Source organism: Homo sapiens, chromosome 2, assembly GCF_000001405.40.
Source record: "Homo sapiens chromosome 2, GRCh38.p14 Primary Assembly".
In the NCBI taxonomy this organism is placed as follows: domain Eukaryota; kingdom Metazoa; phylum Chordata; class Mammalia; order Primates; family Hominidae; genus Homo; species Homo sapiens.
In genome coordinates, this window is record NC_000002.12 from 12,561,738 (window position 1) to 12,580,382 (window position 18,645).

At 40.4% G+C, this 18,645-nt stretch overlaps 1 long non-coding RNA gene across 1 annotated transcript in view, besides 2 other annotated features; it reads left to right on the forward strand.

The window, feature by feature from the left end:
- The window catches only part of MIR3681HG (MIR3681 host gene), a 571,233-nt gene extending 554,622 nt beyond the window's left edge, over positions 1–16,611 (forward strand). The window contains exon 6 of the long non-coding RNA NR_110196.1: positions 15,080–16,611. This is a non-coding gene — a long non-coding RNA (MIR3681 host gene). The remainder of the gene's footprint in view (positions 1–15,079) is intronic.
- Positions 13,087–13,625: an enhancer, noted in NCBI's record as "NANOG hESC enhancer chr2:12714950-12715488 (GRCh37/hg19 assembly coordinates)". NCBI's record gives its function as "activates a minimal SCP1, AML or CMV promoter by ChIP-STARR-seq in primed H9 embryonic stem cells {active_cell/tissue: H9 hESC(primed)}" and the evidence as "EXISTENCE:reporter gene assay evidence [ECO:0000049][PMID:30033119]".
- Positions 15,952–16,152: a silencer, noted in NCBI's record as "peak3595 fragment used in MPRA reporter construct". NCBI's record gives its function as "represses an SCP1 promoter by STARR-seq MPRAs in K562 erythroleukemia cells {active_cell/tissue: K562}" and the evidence as "EXISTENCE:reporter gene assay evidence [ECO:0000049][PMID:32103011]".
- Positions 16,612–18,645: the final 2,034 nt, after the last annotated feature.

The following is an 18,645-nucleotide window of genomic DNA, read 5'->3' on the forward strand; positions in this document are numbered from 1 at the left end:
TGATTTCAGGAACGCTACAGACCAGCAACTTCTATGTGCACCGCAGTATTCCCCCTTTGAAAGGGAATGTCTATAGTGGTTATCCTATGCTTGTTGAACTTGTCTGTGATAAGTGTAGAGAGGGAAGGTGGAGGGTAACTTTTCTCTTGTGATCTGAAAATTGTAAGTCTTTACATCAAGAGGAGACATTCTCGAGGAACTGTAGTTGAGGAAGTGTACTCTAGGAGCCTCATTATACCTGGAACTAATTAAGATGATAAAATTCTGGCTCTAAGGCCTCATCCTGATCCCATCATGAAATAAGGCTTTAGGAGGTCTTGGAGGTAAGGGTTAGTGTATTTTTAATGTGTAAGGAAAGTAGAGTATTGTGGCCAGAGAAGACTCTCACCAATTGTTGTTTTTTCAGAAAATGGCCACATCATGCTCTTCTAGAACTTTCTCATCCCTCAGTCAAGAGGTGGAGCCTATTTACCCTTGACCTTGAAATTGATCAGGACTTTGTCACTGCCTTGCTCTTAACATCACCATGCTGGAGAAATAGCATGGCAAGGCCAGCTGGTGATAGAGAAAGATGCCTAAGGAGCTCCAGCTGCTATTTTCCCTGGATTTTTGAGTCTTCCCAGTCCAGCCAGACATATGACTGGGCAAAACCCTCAGGTAACTACAGCCTTATCCACTGTCTGACTATCACAAAATGAGAGACCTTGGGTGAGGACCACCTACCTGAGCCCAGTCATCCTGCAGAGATGCGAGAAAAATAAGAATGTCATTATTGTTATTTTAAAATCACTGAGTTTGGGTTAATTTGTATGCAGCAATAGATAACTGGGACACAAAGATAGACTGTAAAAAAATAAAGAGGGAATGGTTAAGCTAAAAACATTGTGATCAAATCAATGTTTAGTAAGTAAGCAAGAAAGATGGCTATCCAGGGAAGAGAGATTGCACAACAAAATGAAAATGAAACAAGCAAAGAAACAAAGCATGGATTATAACTTGTAAGAGAGAAAACCATATTAAGGGGAGTTATTTGAATATTTTGTATGAAAATACAGAAATCAGATATAAGTGAGCTGACACTGACTTTGGAGGCAGGAGGAAAACTGATGGGGAATTCTGGGAAAACAGAATGATACAAAGCAGAATCCTCAATGTCCCTACCCAAAACCTAATGAAATAAACAGAAATCAGCAACATTATTTTAAAAATTAATTCTCCAAGAACAATACAAAAGTAAATGGAGCAAAAATTATTATTCATTTTGAAAAAGATAATCTAGAAACAGAGAGACAGAGGAATCTAGAAAATAGTACACAAATTCTTGTCTGAGAAGTGTCTGAGAAGACATCTATAGGCAAAACTGCATAAAATTCTCTCCAGTTTGGAAGGCCATCCTGGGTAATTTTATAAAATGTCTCTTTCATAATAGAAGCCTCTTCCCAACATCATAGATGAAAAATTTTTCAACGAAGGGAAAATCTGTTAGTGCTCATCAATCTTCCCCTACACCTCAAGGATGAGGGAGTAGAGGCATAGATTGAGCACAACTAATTATTTCCAGTAATAAACAACATCAAGATAAGACAAAGTCTTGAGGCAATTTGGTTGTCCCTTGACAAAGGGAATAATGTGAAAGGAGGTAAAAAAAAAAAAAAAAAAAAGAGCTCTATATGGCCTTTCTTCCTATAGCACCTTGTTTAAATAATAAATTTCACTCATTTTCCCCACCTCTGGCTTGGTCAGAAGAGGGATAACAGCATAGAATAGCTCAGGAGGATGGCAATGTGAAACTGTAGTAGCTATAAAGTGATGTCTACATAGCAGAAAATCCAATATAAACATAATATCTCTACTCACCTAAGAAAGATACACCTTGGAGTACTCATAATAAACTCTATAATAATAATAAAATTACATGAAATTGAGCAGAAAACAACAAATCAAAATAGTCACAACTGCATCTGAGGCCCCTTAAGAAAACAGACACCTGCAAACAGACATCAGCAGTAACCAAGTCACAAGCTGAACCTCTAGTGGGATAAACAAATAAGCCTCCACTAAGATAGGCGGGTAAGCAAGAATAATTTGTATATGCTATATATGCACAAAGAAAGTGCCCACATAGAGGGGCTAATATCAAAGATGAGCAAAATGAAAAAAAGAGTCATGGCACTCTTAACAATTATGAAGGAAAAGAAAAAAGGAGAAGGAGGAGGAGAAGAAAGCAAGCTAGCATATAAAATAGAAAAGAAGAATTTATTCTAGAAGAAGGTATACACCAAGTAATAGAATAAATATTCTGATAAAACACTTTCTGAGAAGAACTTATAAAAACACCAAAACTACAATGAAAATAATGAACAGATTGATATAAATAAAAATATAGATATAAAATATAACACCACCGAATTAATTTGCAAAAGTAGTGAAAGTATTTGAAGATCAAGCAACAGCACTGCAGATTAATAAACATGCTTTAGAGGGTAAGGAAAAGAGAAGATGCCAGTTGAAAATCAATACTGTGTTATGGAAGAGAGAATTGAAATAATCATGAAGATTGTCATTAGAAAGCATGGCAGGATGACAACAATTTCAATGAAGATGGCAGATACGGAAGTTATGCATCAAAGGAGCAGCATGTGAGCATCTGTGTCCTTGAGATGGAGAAGAGAAAATAATGGAACAGATAAAGAACACTCAGAGATACAGAAAAATATTTCCTGAAATGAAACATTTGCCAAACCTTCAAACATGAGAAGCTTTTACATCCACGTATGTAAATGGAGTAAAAGAGATCCCTTGATCTGACATGAATCTTAGCTCCATTCTTTAGTAGCTGTGACTCTGGGCAGGTTTGTCAGGCTGATTTTTTAATCTGCAAAGTGTGACTATTAAAAATCCCAGCTTCATGGTTTGTTGTGAATGGGAATGAAATGAGGTAATATATGTCATGTACTTCGGTGAGTTACTGGTACAGAGGATATTCTTTTCAAGTATCAGCTATTGTTTGTATCTTGGTAAAGTTCCTGAACATTATCGGGGGAAGAAAGAATCCTGTACGAGGAAAAAAAAACAAAAGTTGCATTGCATTCAAACTTCTACACTGCATCAGTTAGTGCCAGAAGACAATGCAGAAATTCCAGCGGAGGCTTGTGGGGTGGAAATATGTATGATCTGTGAATGTTATAGACAGACTGATAGTCATTCAGGTATAAAGGAAATCGAGAGGCATCCTAAAAATTGCTAGGATGCAGAAACTGAAACCTTTTTGAAAAAGCTCACCGATGAAAACAAGAAATTTCCATAGCAAAAAAATTGAACTAATGGAATAGAAAGACCTTCTATGAAAGGACTGGCAGTAAGTACTAAATCCATTTAAATATAAAACCAAAGTGAAATAATTGAGGAAATTATGGTTACGTAAAATATATATTTTAAAACAGAAAAAAAGATTTTTTTCATTATGAATAAAAACAACTATATAACTCTGATGGACCCTGGAAAAATGTTTTAAAACAAATAGGAAGTAGGGAGGGAAAAGAGAATGTGTAAGTTTCGTATTTCCCTATGTTCACAGTGGTAGGTCAAAAAATGGCAGGTTTATTGGAAAAGTTCATTTTTATAAAAAGGTAAATCCTAAAAAACCAATGATGCAAAATCTTTCTAAATTTTGAAAAAGGAAATGCAAATTAAAACAAAACAGAAACAAATGTTCCCTACAAACCTTGACCTTTTTGAATGAGATGAAATGCACATGTCTCTGTGCATAGGCTAAGATCTGGAGGAGTGACATGAACAGTGACTGCTCCTTGGGCAGTATGAATGAGTGGAGGTGGTAGAATAGGAATGGGCTTTTCATGTCCTTCTTTCTGGTTATTTACTTTGCTTGTTTTTGTTGAGAAAAAAAATCACAAATACAGATTAGTATGAAGAATAAGGTGAGAAACTGCTAGGTATCTATTACCCTGAATTGACAGTTTCACATTGTGTTATATTTATTTCAAGACATTTTTAAAGAAAGAAAGAAAACATAACAGATTAATCACATTCTCCATCTGCCTTCCCCCTTTCACTCTTCTCTGAGACAGACACTGTGAAGAACTTGTGTATATCTGTTGAACCAAATTATAAATTAACATACATATGTCCATGAACAACATATCTATTCATACTTGAGAAATATATTTGAAACCATTAGATCTTTTAACAATTACAGAAATAGTATCATGCTATGTTATATTGCTAAATGCATTATCAAACATGCTTTTTCATTACCTTTTTTTTGAGAACATGTGGAGGGATTATTTTAAGGTAAATGAAATAGTTTGGTTAAAGAGAAAGCACATACAATATTGCCAATTCCTGCCAAGTGGTAGCATCACTAAATTCAGTGTAAAATAAGTTTGTGAACACACAAAATGGATGAATTTCCAGGAAAATATCAAGGACAGAAATGCATTTCAAAAATGATCTCATCAACTCAAACAAACAAATGCCACAGTTTTTTAAATAAGGGAGTATGGGACAATTCCCCTGCCTCATACACACCCATACTCACACATCACAGCACATGCTAAGAAGGTGTTGCACAGGAAAATTACTTTTACATTTTTGAATACTATGTCACTTCAGCGTGTTTAAATTCTTCCAGCCAAGAGAAGAAAAATTTTCAGATTCTTTTTACCAAGCCAGCATGAGGTTAAACCCCAAATCTGAAAATGACCGCAATGAGAAAATGACTGATGAATGCCACATATGAACATCTACATAAAAATCCAAATAAAATTCAAAACTCTAATTCTATAGTGTATTATATTTTAAAATGATATATATTCAAATATATAAGACACATGCATACACATATGCATAGAAATGTATATATACTTATGTATATCTACAGATATGAATATGTACATACAAGCAAATTATATATATTTACAAATATACTACATAAAATATATATTAAATACACATGAATATATATCTATACATATATGTAGGTGTGTGTAATATATGTGTGCAGCAAAGTGAATTTTAGCTTAGAAATATCAGAAAAATTCAAAAAAAAATTACTAATTTTAGAAATACTAATTAAAGAGTTAATTCCTTTTCTTGCTAAGAAGTAAATCAAAGGTCAACATTATAATTGAAAACTAACTACTTTCTAAATTCTGCTACATTTCAGGATGCGAACAATCAATATTTACTGGCTTTATTTAAAAATAACTAAGATAAAAGCATAGTCATATGCATCTGTCCACCATTCAGCATTAACAAGTATTAAAATATGTTATATGCTTTTCAGGTCTGTTTTTGTTTTTCAGGAAACAGAAAGACCAAAAATAAAATTGAAACTAATTTTTGCATATAAACACTTCCTAAGTGTGTTGCTGATTCTTGAAGCATGCATATATGGGACAAAATACAGCTGAATTGCAAAAGGCAGAATTTTCTATTTGAGTTCAATCAAGGGAAACCTGCTTGATTCCAACCAAGTTAAATCTGCTTAAAAGATAATCCACACTCTTCAGAGAAATGTAAGAGAATCCAGCCTGCAACCCAATCCAACACCGCTCCCTAGCACATGATTTAAATATGCAGAATGTGTTCTGCGTATCTTGTTATATGGGTATCAAGTGCCTTGGGTTGTAATCCAGAAGTACTTGGCGTAAAAAGAATGAGGAAAATGTGATCAATTCTTAAGAGAAAAGACAACTGATAGAGACAATCTGACAGGTGAACCAGTTTGGTGCACTCAGAAAGTTAGACATAGAGCTACCATATGACAAACAATTCCACTCCTAGGTGTATGCCCAAGGTACTTGAAAACGTACATTCATAGAAACTCATAACAAATGTTCATAGCAGCATCATTCGTAATAGCCCCAAAGTGTAAACAACCAAATGCCTATCAGGTGACTAAATGGATAAATAAAATGTGATACATATACCTAGTGGAATATTACCCGGTGATAGAAAGTAACAGAGTATGGACATATGCTACAGCAGAATTTGAAAAGTATGATGTGAAGTGAAAGAAGCCAGGCACAAAAAACCATGTATCTTGTGATTCCATTATATGAAATGTGAAGAATAGGCAAATCCATAAAGGCATAAAGTAAATAAGAAGTTGTCAGGCTCCAGGGGTGGGTAGAATGGACTGGGACTGCTAATGGGTACAGGGTTTCTTTTAGGGGTATGAAAATATTTTAAAATTAAATAGTAGTAATGATTGCACAAGTCTGTGAATATGCCAAAGGAATACTGAGTGTTATAAATCAAAAGCGTGAATTTTATAACATATAAATTATACTCCAATAACACTATTATTTTTTGAATTTCCAATAATCATTTTGTATAACCTGATACATCGATCCCAAAAGGCATACATAGAATAGCCAAGAACAGTCATTTATATTTGAATGAAAATATAGTGGAAGCACTTGCCCTAGCCAAAAGAAAAAAAAAAATCAAGATTTACTATAATAATTTTAAAAGTGTGGTGTAGTATTAGTTTAGAAATAGAAAAATGGAGTTATGATTCAAGGTATAGAATCCTCATTTTGGGAGGCTGAGGCGGGCAGGTCACGAGGTCAGGAGATCGAGACCATTCTGGGTATTACGGTGAAACCTCGTCTCTACTAAAAATACAAAAAATTAGCCGAGCATGGTGGCAGGCGCCTGTAGTCCCAGCTACTTGGGAAGCTGAGGCAGGAGAATCGCTTGAACCCAGGAGGTGGAGGCTGCAGTGAGCTGAGATTGTGCCACCACGCCAATGCACTCCAGCCTGGGCAACAGAGTGAGACTCCGTCTCAAAAAAAAAAAAAAGAATCCAAAGTCAGATTGGCACATGTATGGAAACTTGTAATATGGTAAGTATCATTTAAACCAGATGGGGAAAGGATTATACAATACTTGGTGCTGCAAAATCTGCTATCTACACAGGGAGAAACGATGCCTCTACCCCAAACTGCGTAAGATAAATATCCTTCTCAGTTGATTAAAACCTAAAAAGCAACGGACTTTTAAATCACCTGAAAAAACAGACTGTAAGTTAACATTATAACATTATAATGTTATAAAGTTATAACATTTAACCTTGGGCTTGGCAATGAAGAATTTCTTAAATAAAACACAATGAACATAACTCTTAATGAAAAACATTGATAAAATCAACCACCTTAAAATAGAAAATTTTGTACAACAAAAGACAATGCAGCTTTTTTTTTTTTTAATGAAAAAAGCTACAGGATGTCAGAAGGTATTTGCCATTTATATCACCAACATATAATTGACGGTTATTGGATATGCAAAAAAATACTAGAAACAGCCTACTTGTTCATTATCACAAAAATGATGAAGGATAAATAAAGTATACAATAATCCAATTGCAAAGAATACTACACCTCAGCTAAAATGAAAAGGGAACTATGTATTAATGTAGATAAGTTTATTAGTATAAAAGTTATTTTACTTATTGATCTATAATCCTCTTACTGATTTTAGGATCTATAAGACCTATATTTCCTTACAATCCAATTAAAGACTATAGGATATCTTTTATTCTGATATTGAAAATTTATATTTTCTTTTTTCCATCTTTAAGAATTTTTTAGGAATGTATTAATTTTATTAATCTCCACAAAAAAATCCATTTAGATTTTTTCTCTTTTCTAGTTTGTTCTGCTTTCTATTTCATTAAATTCTTTTTTTAATTTATTTTTTATTTTTTATTTTTTGAGATGGAGTCTCGCTCTGTCCCCCAGGCTGGAGTGCAGTGGCGCAATCTCTGCTCACTGCAAGCTCCACCTCCTGGGTTCATGCCATTCTCCCACCTCAGCCTCCTGAGTAGCTGGGACTACAGGCACGTGCTACCATGCCCAGCTAATTTTTTGTATCTTTAGTAGAGACGGGGTTTCACTGTGTTAGCCAGGATGGTCTCTGTCAGGCCTCTGAACCCAAGCCAAGCCATTGCATCCCCTGTGACTTGCACGTATACGCCCAGATGGCCTGAAGTAACTGAAGAATCACAAAAGAAGTGAAAAGGCCCTGCCCCGCCTTAACCGATGACATTCCACCATTGTGATTTGTTCCTGCCCCACCTTAACTGAGTGATTAACCCTGTGAATTTCCTTCTCCTGGCTCAGAAGCTCCCCCACTGAGCACCTTGTGACCCCTGCCCCTGCCCAGCAGAGAACAACCCCCTTTGACTATAATTTTCCATTACCTTCCCAAATCTTATAAAACGGCCCCCCCTATCTCCCTTCGCTGACTCTTTTCAGACTCAGCCCACCTGCACCCAGGTGAAATAAACAGCCATGTTGCCCACACAAAGCCTGTTTGGTGGTCTCTTCACACGGACGCTCATGGAATTTGGTGCCGTGACTCAGATCGGGGGACCTCCCTTGGGAGATCAATCCCCCTTCCTCCTGCCCTTTGCTCTGTGAAAAAGATCCACCTATGACCTCAGGTTCTCTGACTGACCAGCCCAAGAAACATCTCACCAATTTCAAATCCGGTAAGCGGCCTCTTTTTACTCTCTTCTCCAACCTCCCTCACTATCCCTCAACCTCTTTCTCCTTTCAATCTTGGCGCCACACTTCAATCTCTCCCTTCTCTTAATTTCAATTCCTTTCATTTTCTGGTAGAGACAAAGGAGACACGTTTTATCCGTGGACCCAAAACTCCGGCGCCGGTCACGGACTGGGAAGGCAGCCTTCCCTTGGTGTTTAATCATTGAAAGGACACCTCTCTGATTATTCACCCACGTTTCAAAGGTGTCAGACCACGCAGGGACGCCTGCCTCGGTCCTTCACCCTTAGCGGCAAGTCCCGCTTTTCTGGGGAAGGGGCAAGTACCCCACCCCCTTCTCTCCTTGTCTCTACCCCTTCTCTGCTTTTCTGGGGGAGGTGAAAGTACCCCTCAACCGCTTCTCCTTCACCCTTAGTGGCAAGTCCCGCTTTTCTGGGGGAGGGGCAAGTACCCCTCAACCCCTTCTCCTTCACCCTTAGTGGCAAGTCCTGCTTTTCTGGGGAAGGGGCAAGTACCCCAGCCCCTTCTCTCCGTGTCTCTACCCCTTCTCTGCTTTTCTGGGGGAGGGGCAAGTACCCCAACCTCATATCTCTGTGCCCCAATCCCTTATTTCCACACCCCAACCTCTTATCTCTGTGCCCCACTCCCTTATTTCCGTGTCCCGACCCCCCTTCCCACTTTTCTGGAGGGTAAGAACCCCCAAACCCCTTCCCTCCGTGTCTCTACACTCTCTTTTCTCTGGGTTTGCCGCCTTCACTATGGGCAACCTTCCACCCTCCATTCCTCCTTCTTCTCCCTTAGCCTGTGTTCTCAAGAACTTAAAACCTCTTCAACTCACACCTGACCTAAAACCTAAACACCTTATTTTCTTTTGCAATGCCGCTTGACCCCAATACAAACTCAACAGTAGTTCCAAATAGCCAGAAAATGGCACTTTGAATTTTTCCATCCTGCAAGATCTAAATAATTCTTGTCGTAAAATAGGCAAACGGTCTGAGGTGCCTGATGTCCAGGCATTCTTTTACACATCAGTCCCTTCCTAGTCTCTGTGCCCAGTGCAACTCGTCCCAAATCTTCCTTCTTTCCCTCCTTCCTGTCCCCTCAGTCCCAACCCCAAGCATCGCTGAGTCTTTCTAATCTTCCTTTTCTACAGACCCATCTGACTTCTCCCCTCCTTGCCAGGCCGAGCTAGGTCCCAATTCTTCCTCAGCCTCTGCTCCTCCACCCTATAATCTTTTTATCGCCTCCCCTCCTCACACCTGGTCCGGCTTACAGTTTCGTTCTGTGACTAGCCCTCCCCCACCTGCCCAGCAATTTACTCTTAAAAAGGTGGCTGGAGTCAAAGGCGTAGTCAAGGTTAATGCTCCTTTTTCTTTATCCCAAATCAGAAGCGTTTAGGCTCTTTTTCATCAAATATAAAAACCCAGCCCAGTTCATGGCTCGTTCGGCAGCAACCCTGAGATAATTTACAGCCCTAGACCCTAAAAGGTCAAAAGCCATCTTATTCTCAATATACATTTTATTACCCAATTTGCTCCTGACATTAAATAAAACTCCAAAAATTAGAATCTGGCCCTCAAACCCCACAACAGGACTTAATTAACCTCACCTTCAAGGTGTACAAGAATAGAAAAAAGTTGCAATTCCTTGCCTCCACTGTGAGACAAACCCCAGCCACATCTCCAGCACACAAGAACTTCCAAACGCCTGAACCGCAGCGGCCAGGCTTTACTCCAGAACCTCATCCCCCAGGAGCTTGCTACAAGTGCCAGAAATCTGACCAACAGGCCAAGGAATGCCTGCAGCCCAGGATTCCTCCTAAGCTGTGTCCCATCTGTGCGGGACCCCACTGGAAATCAGACTGTTCAACTCACCTGGAAGCCACTCCCAGAGCCCCTGGAACTCTGGCCCAAGGCTCTCTGACTGACTCCTTTCCAGATCTTCTCAGCTTAGCGGCTGAAGACTGATGCTGCCCGATCGCCTCGGAAGCCCCGTAGACCATCACGGACGCCGAGCTTTAGGTAACTCTCACAGTGAAGGGTAAGTCCGTCCCCTTCTTAATCAACACGGAGGCTACCCACTCCAACATTACCTTCTTTTCAAGGGCCTGTTTCCCTTGCCTCCATAACTGTTGTGGGAATGACAGCCAGGCTTCTACACCTCTAAAACTCCCCAACTGTGGTGCCAACTTAGACAATACTCTTATGCACTCTTTTTTAGTTATCCCCACCTGCCCAATTCCCTTATTAGGCTGAGACACTTTAACTAAATTATCTTCCCTGACTATTCCTGGACTATAGCAGCATCTCATTGCTGCCCTTCTTCCCAATCCAAAGCCTTCTTTGCATCCTCCTCTTGTATTCCCCCACCTTAACCCACAAGTATAAGATACCTCTACTCCCTCCTTGGCTACCGATCATGCACCCCTTACCATCTCATTAAAACCTAATCACCCTTTCCCCGTTCAATGCCAATATCCCATCCCACAGCATGCTTTGAAAGGATTAAAGCCTGTTATCACTTGCCTGCTACAGCATGGGCTTCTAAGACCTATAAACTCTCCTTAACCATTCCCCCATTTTACCTGTCCTAAAACCAGACAAGCCTTACAAGTTAGTTCAGGATCTGCGCCTTATCAACCAAATTGTTTTACCTATCCACCCTGTGGTGCCAAACCCATATACTCTCCTATCCTCAATACCTGCCTCTACAACCCATTATTCTGTTCTAGATCTCAAACATGCTTTCTTTACTATTCCTTTGCACCCTTCATCCCAGCCTCTCTTCGCTTTCACTTGGACTGACCCTGACACCCATCAAGCTCAGCAAATTACCTAGGCTGTACTGCCGCAAAGCTTCACAGACAGCCCCCATTACTTCAATCAAGCCCAAATTTCTTCCTCATCTGTTACCTATCTTGGCATAATTCTCATAAAAACACACGTGCTCTCCCTGCCAGTCATGTCCGACTAATCTCCCAAACCCCAGCACCTTCTACAAAACAACTCCTTTCCTTCCTAGGCATGGTTAGTGCGGTCAGAATTTTTACACAAGAGCCAGGACCACACCGTGTAGCCTTTCTGTCCAAACAACTTGACCTTACTGTTTTAGCCTAGCCCTCATGTCTGCGTGCAGTGGCTGCCACTGCTTTAATACTTTTAGAGGCCCTCAAAATCACAAACTATGCTCAACTCACTCTCTACATTTCTCATAACTTCCAAAATCTATTTTCTTCCTCATACCTGACACGTATACTTTCTGCTCCCTGGCTCCTTCAGCTGTACTCTCTTCGTTAAGTCCCACAATTACCATTGTTCCTGGCCCGGACTTCAATCCCGCCTCCCACATTATTCCAGATACCACACCTGACCGTCATGACTGTATCTCTCTGATCCACCTGATGTTCATCCCATTTCCCCACATTTCCTTCTTCCCTGTTTCTCACCCTGATCACGCTTGATTTATTGATGGCAGTTCCACCGGGCCTAATCACCACACACCAGCAAAGGCAGGCTATGCTATAGTACAAACCACTAGCCCGCCTCTTAGAACCTCTCATTTCCTTTACATCATGGAAATCTATCCTCAAGGAAATAACTTCTCAGTGTTCCATCTGCTATTCTATCTGCTATTCTACTACTCCTCAAGGATTATTCAGGCCCCCTCCCTTCCCTACACATCAAGCTCGAGGATTTGCCCCCGCCCAGGACTGGCAAATTAGCTTTACTCAACATGCCCTGAGTCACAAAAACTAAAATACCTCTTAGTCTAAGTAGACACTTTCACTAGATAGGTAGAGGCCTTTCCTACAGGGTCTGAGAAGGCCACCGCAGTCATTTCTTCCCTTCTGTCAGACATAATTCCTCAGTTTAGCCTTCCCACCTCTATACAGTCTGATAACAGACCAGCCTTTATTAGTCAAATCAGCCAAGCATTTTATCAGGCTCTTAGTTTTCAGTGACAGACTAAAGGTCTTTTAAAAACACACCTCACCAAGCTCAGCCACCAACTTAAAAAGGACTGGACAATACTTTTACCACTTTCCCTTCTGAGAAGTGAGACCTGTCCTCAGAATGCTACCAGGTACAGCCCATTTAAGCTCCTGCATAGATGCTCCTTTTTATTAGGCCCCAGTCTCATTCCAGACGCCAGACCAACTTAGACTGTGCCCCAAAAAACTTGTCATCCCTACTATCTTCTGTCTAGTCATACTCCTATTCACCGTTCTCAACTACTCATACATGCCCTACTCTTGTTTACACTGCTGGTTTACACTGTTTCTCCAAGCCATCACAGCTGATATCTCCTGGTGCTATCCCCAAACTTCTACTCTTGAAGTAAATAAATAATCTTTGCTGGCAGGACTATGCTGAATCTCCTAAGCACTCTCTAATCAGATGTCCTAGGTCCTCCCAATTCTTAAACCATTTATACCTGTTTTTCTCCTTCTCTTATTCCATTTAGTTTTTCAGTTCATACAAAACCGTATCCAGGCCATCACCAATCTTTCTGTATGACAAATGTTTCTTCTAACAACCCCCTCAATGTCACCCCTTACCACAAGACCTCCCTTCAGCTTAATCTCTCCCACTCTAGGTTCCCACGCCGCCCCTAATCCCGCTTGAAGCAGCACTGAGAAACATCGCCCATTCTCTCTCCGCACCACCCCCAAAAATTTTCGCCACCCCAACACTTCAACACTATTTTATTTTTCTTATTAATATAAGAAGGCAGGAATGTCAGGCCTCTGAGCCCAAGCCAAGCCATCGCATCCCCTGTGACTTGCACGTATATGCCCAGATGGCCTGAAGTAACTGAAGAATCACAAAAGAAGTGAAAAGGCCCTGCCCTGCCTTAACTGATGACATTCCACCATTGTGATTTGTTCCTGCCCCACCTTAACTGAGTGATTAACCCTGTGAATTTCCTTCTCCTGGCTCAGAAGCTCCCCCACTGAGCACCTTGTGACCCCCGCCCCTGCCCACCAGAGAACAACCCCCTTTGGCTGTAATTTTCCATTACCTTCCCAAATCTGATAAAACAGCCCCACCCCATCTCCCTTCGCTGACTTTCTTTTCGGACTCAGCCCACCTGCACCCAGGTGAAATAAACAGCCACGTTGCTCACACAAAGCCTGTTTGGTGATCTCTTCACACGGGCGCACATGAAAGTCTCGATCTCCTAACATCACGATCTGCTCACCTCGGTCTTCCAAAGTGCTGGGATTACAGGTGTGAGCCACCGTGCCCAGCCTATTTCATTAAATTCTTATCTTACTTTTGTTACTTTTCCTTCTACTTGTTTTGATTTTAGTTGTACTTAATGAGAAAAATAGAAAAAAATATATGTTTATTCCTTTAAAAAAATGAGCAAAAGCCATGAACAGGTGTTTTACAGAAAAAAATTCAAGGGACTAATAATCATAAAAAAATCTGCTCAATATCACAAATCTTCAAAAACCACTAACTGAAACAATTAGACACTGCTATCTGAAATGTCAAATTAAAAAAAGAAAAAAGACAAAAACAAATGACAAACCTATCAAGACCAGTGGTGGCGGGAATGTGGAATAACTCTGTGTTGCTGGTAGGAATGTGAATTTGCACAGGTAATTTAGAAAACTGGCCAGGCATGGTGGCTCATGCCTGTAATCCCAGCACTTTGGGAGGCTGAGGCGGGCTGATCATGAGCTTAAGAGATGGAGACCACCCTGGCCAACGTGGTGAAACCCCGTCTCTACTAAAAATACAAAAATTAGCTGGGCGTGGTGGTGCATGCCTGTAGTCCCAGCTACAAGGGAGGCTGAGGCAGGAGGATCGTTTGAACCTGGGAGGCAGAAGTTGCAGTGAGCAGAGATCAAGCCATTGTACTCCAGCCTGGTGACAGAGGGAGACTCCGTCTCAAAACACAAACAAACAAACAAACAACAACTACAACAACAAAAAACCTTGTGGTACTATCTACTGAAGCTAAACATAGGCATACCTGATGTTTGAGCAATTTCCCTTTTAGAAATTTGCCCCAAGGAAATGCATACACATGTACACCAAAAAAAGTGGCACAAGGACACTCTTAGAAACATTTTTCATAATAGCTTCAAATTGGAAACAACACACATAACCTCCCAGGATACAATACATTCGTTGTTGTAAAATCACACAAAGTAATACTATGGTGTAACAACCAAGTTTTAACTATTGCTATGTGAGCCATCAAGAATAAAACTAACAGAGTGTTGAGTAAAAGAGTACTACTAACTCAAGTGAGTACATAGAGTACAACTTCATTTACATGAAGTTTCAGAAATGGCCAAAGCTAACTAACTATAATAATTTAAGTAAGAATCCAGGTTATTTTAGGAAAGCTGGCATAATAACTGGAATGGGGAGAGAGGATACCCCTGGGTCCTGGTAATGTTGCAGCTTCTAATCTCTGTTGCAGCTTTCACCGGTTTGCTCCTTTCGTAAAATTTATAGAGCAAAATACTCATCATTTTTGCACCTTACCATATTGTTGTATTTTGATTAATTTGACACATCCTCTTTAGGTATGTGCTCTTGGGTGATTCCCCTAATCATAGTGGAAAGATGGGAGCTGAGACTCTAAGACTGTAAGTAACTTGGCCAAGACTTATGGCTTGATACGGATCTTCTAACTCAAAATCGTGTGTTCTTCTCACTACCCAATTATTGCTTCACACTTCATCATTTTGCAGATGACTGTGTGTTGATGAGAGGCTGCCATAATTTGAAGTCATTAGAACAATGAAATAGTATCTGCACATATGCACAGTCCTCGGATGCGATGGGCATTCCCTCAAGCTGCAGTCCAGCAGGAAATTTTCAGTGCTAGAAGAGTTAAACTATAAGCTGACTTGAGATGTAGTAGTTCAAAACCCTTGCCAATAACTCTTTATTATGTGCAGCATTTTCAAAGCAAAATTACAACATGTTAGAAAGTGAATGAGGCAAATTACTGGTGATGTCATCAAAGTAATAACTGCTAATGACCCTTTTACTCCTGGGCATTGCCTGAGGCCACACTGACAGGAAGAGCAGATCTGCTTTCTGTGAATCCATTTGGATTATCTAGAAGGCATCCTGAAAGTTATGAAAACATAATGTGAGAAAATGATAGATCAAAGTGTGAATACAATGCAGGGACAACAGAAAGGAAAATGTACTCTCTGTTGTGTAATGGGTATTTTGGCCAGAGTTTGAAGAGCTTTATTAAGGAGTGACAACAAACATATATTTAAATGATGACATTTCCTCCAAAATAAAATAAACAAATAAATATGTAGAATTTAAAACTTTTTTGTTTCCATGAAAGAGTTTGGAATACCCTTCCAAACTCTCCTCATTCATTGAGACGATGGATCTCTTGTTATTAACCGAGACACTGAATTTTGAGGTGACATCCTGTTCTGGAGGCAGAAACATTGCCAGCACTTCTCCTTCAGCAGTTGATTTATTATGTGACAGTCGGTGATGAGCTTATCCTCATGAAGATGCTCCCTCCCACGGACAGCCGTATCATACTTGAGGCCTCCCTGCCACTTACCCAGGCCACTGCAATAGCCCCTTTGTTGTCATCTGGTTAAGAACTAAGGTTCTTCCTTAACCAGTCCATTCCCCTGACTTCCACAGAGAAACCATTCTATAAACTGCTCATCTGTCAGCTGTTCACCAGCTCAAAAACCATTCAGAATCCCACACCTTCTCCCACTGTCCACAGAATATTGTCAGTACTCCTTCTAAGAGAATTCAAAGCAACATGACATCATCCTATATTTCTAGCCTTACCTAATAAATATTCATACCGACTACCTACTGCTTTCTATACAGGGAAACATTTCAAGGCCTCCGAGGTCTGCTTGGAATTCTCCCATCCACCATCATTTCTGCTGCCTATTAATATTCCACCTATAATTTATTCACCAAATATTCCTTGAATGAGTGCCAGGTGTCAGATACCTCAGTTCCAAGGTCCTTTCTTTTGTGAAGCTTTTCTTGGAAGCTCCCCTGTCTGAGCTCACACTCTAATTGGGACATTATTTAATTATAGTCTGTATTGAACAATATTCGTGTCAAATGCATTTTTGTCTGTTTCTCCTACTGGATTTGGAGCATATATCTTGGAATCACTGCCACCTGCCATAGTATCTAGCACATTATAGACAATAATTTTTATTGACTGAATCATTTTGAAGTTATTCCTCTATGTTCTAGAGAATTAATACTTTAGTTTCTGTATTCCCTACTTAGAGATACTTTTAAGGTGCATTGATAATAATCCTGGATTTATTAGAATCTTTAGGGAGCATCTCAGAATGAGATTATAATTCTTTCTCGATAGCAGGGATAAGACTGGTGCTGTAGAAGATAAAAAGGAATCCTAATTTCTTGCTCACATCTTGCTTTGGCAGAGTCAGGACATAGGACCCATAATCCTTATCTCCTATGAAGAGAAAATCTTGCCCCCGTCTTCTCACCAGCCCTTGGCAGAGCTGTTAGGAGGCAGATTCCAGCTGCCAGCCCTTCCAGTGATTTTTCTCAGCTGCAGCAAGCCACCTTGCCCAAGGTCATGCCCTTCCACGTGTGACCCACATCCATGACTGATGGATGCAGGAGCTATAAAGGCCCAGCCACTGCAGCCCAATGCAGGGGAATTGGGGCCATCTTAGTTCCAGAGTTCTCCATGAAACCGGCTGAGGCTATGCCTGCATAATAGTTCAGGTTTTCCTTTTGTCCAATCCCACTTTCTATGCCTCCCTTTCATGGAGACTGATTACAAGAGCACTCTGATAAACACTTTGAACATTATACTTCGTCTCAGAGTCTGCATCCTGGTGAATCTAAATGGTATCATCAATGCAAGTGGCTCTAAGATGGGATTTTGGAGCTGGATGACTCACCAACCAGCCAGTGATTAAGATGCTGTCACTTGTGGTTGGTGGAGCACAACTAGTCCTGGTGCAAGGTGGGTACTGCTTGGTAAAACTTTCATGAAGGTGAGCTGGGAAGCTACACCAGTGGAAAGGAATGCACTCACTGGTGCAATGCATGCTTTTCAGTGCATTTGAAAATTATGGGAGGGGTAGGTACTATAAGGGCAAAGAGGTTGTATGACTATGGTTAACCTTTAAGCTCTAGAAAAAAACAAAAATAAGGTTAAGTGTGAAAGCCAAAGCCAAAAGCCAAAGCTTTTATATAGTACCCTATAAAAAGCCTCTCATCTCCTTTAACAGCAGGGAAGAAAGTTGGAGAAAAGCTCCACAACTTAATTGTCATGGTAGCTGAACTAGAAAGAATAATGTACTCATAACAAAGCCATTTGTATCCAGGTGAAGACCCTGACTGGGATGAACGGGACCCTGAAACACGGAAAAGAGACTTGGTTGATGACCTGAAAAATTCGGAATTCCTAGATTCTCCCAAATCTCTGAGCCTATAGAAGCAGACTTTCCCTCCATTTTAACCCATTCAGAGGTCACTCCCCTGAAAGAGAGCAGGTACTCCACTCAGGATCTTTCCCCACCTTGCTTCCTAGCCATTAGGCTAATAACTCAGGTAAATTGCATCATAATCCAGCCTTGAGTGTGCTGGGCCTGGTAAGAAAGGAAAGGAATTACATCCCAAAGGAGCTAAAATAAAACCTGCTAACATAGACCAGCAGGTATGCTCTGGCAGAGCAGGTATGGGTCTGATCAAGGAGGCTGGAGCCTAAGAGTGAATAAGGGATGTTATCTACTAGTGGTTTAGTGAATTTGGGAGCACTCTCCCAAGGTACAGGATTTAAAACTTAGCAAAAACCCTAGGAGATGATGCAAACTGGGTCTTAGGAGCATGCAAACTAGTTCCTAGGAGCATGGAAAAAGTGATGGCCAGAGTAAGGGAGGTCTACATGTTGGGATCACTGTGTCTGATGGTGGAGAATGGGATAAAAAACTAGGGAGTGAGCATTCTAGGGAGGATATACAACATACAAAAAGCCCACCACGTGGTTATATTTCATGGGAAATCCCCAGAGAAAAGAAGAGGTGTTCTGGTGAGACGGGAACCAGCATCACCAAGAAGTTCATTGGTGGCTGTCCTTTGTAGGTGGAATTGA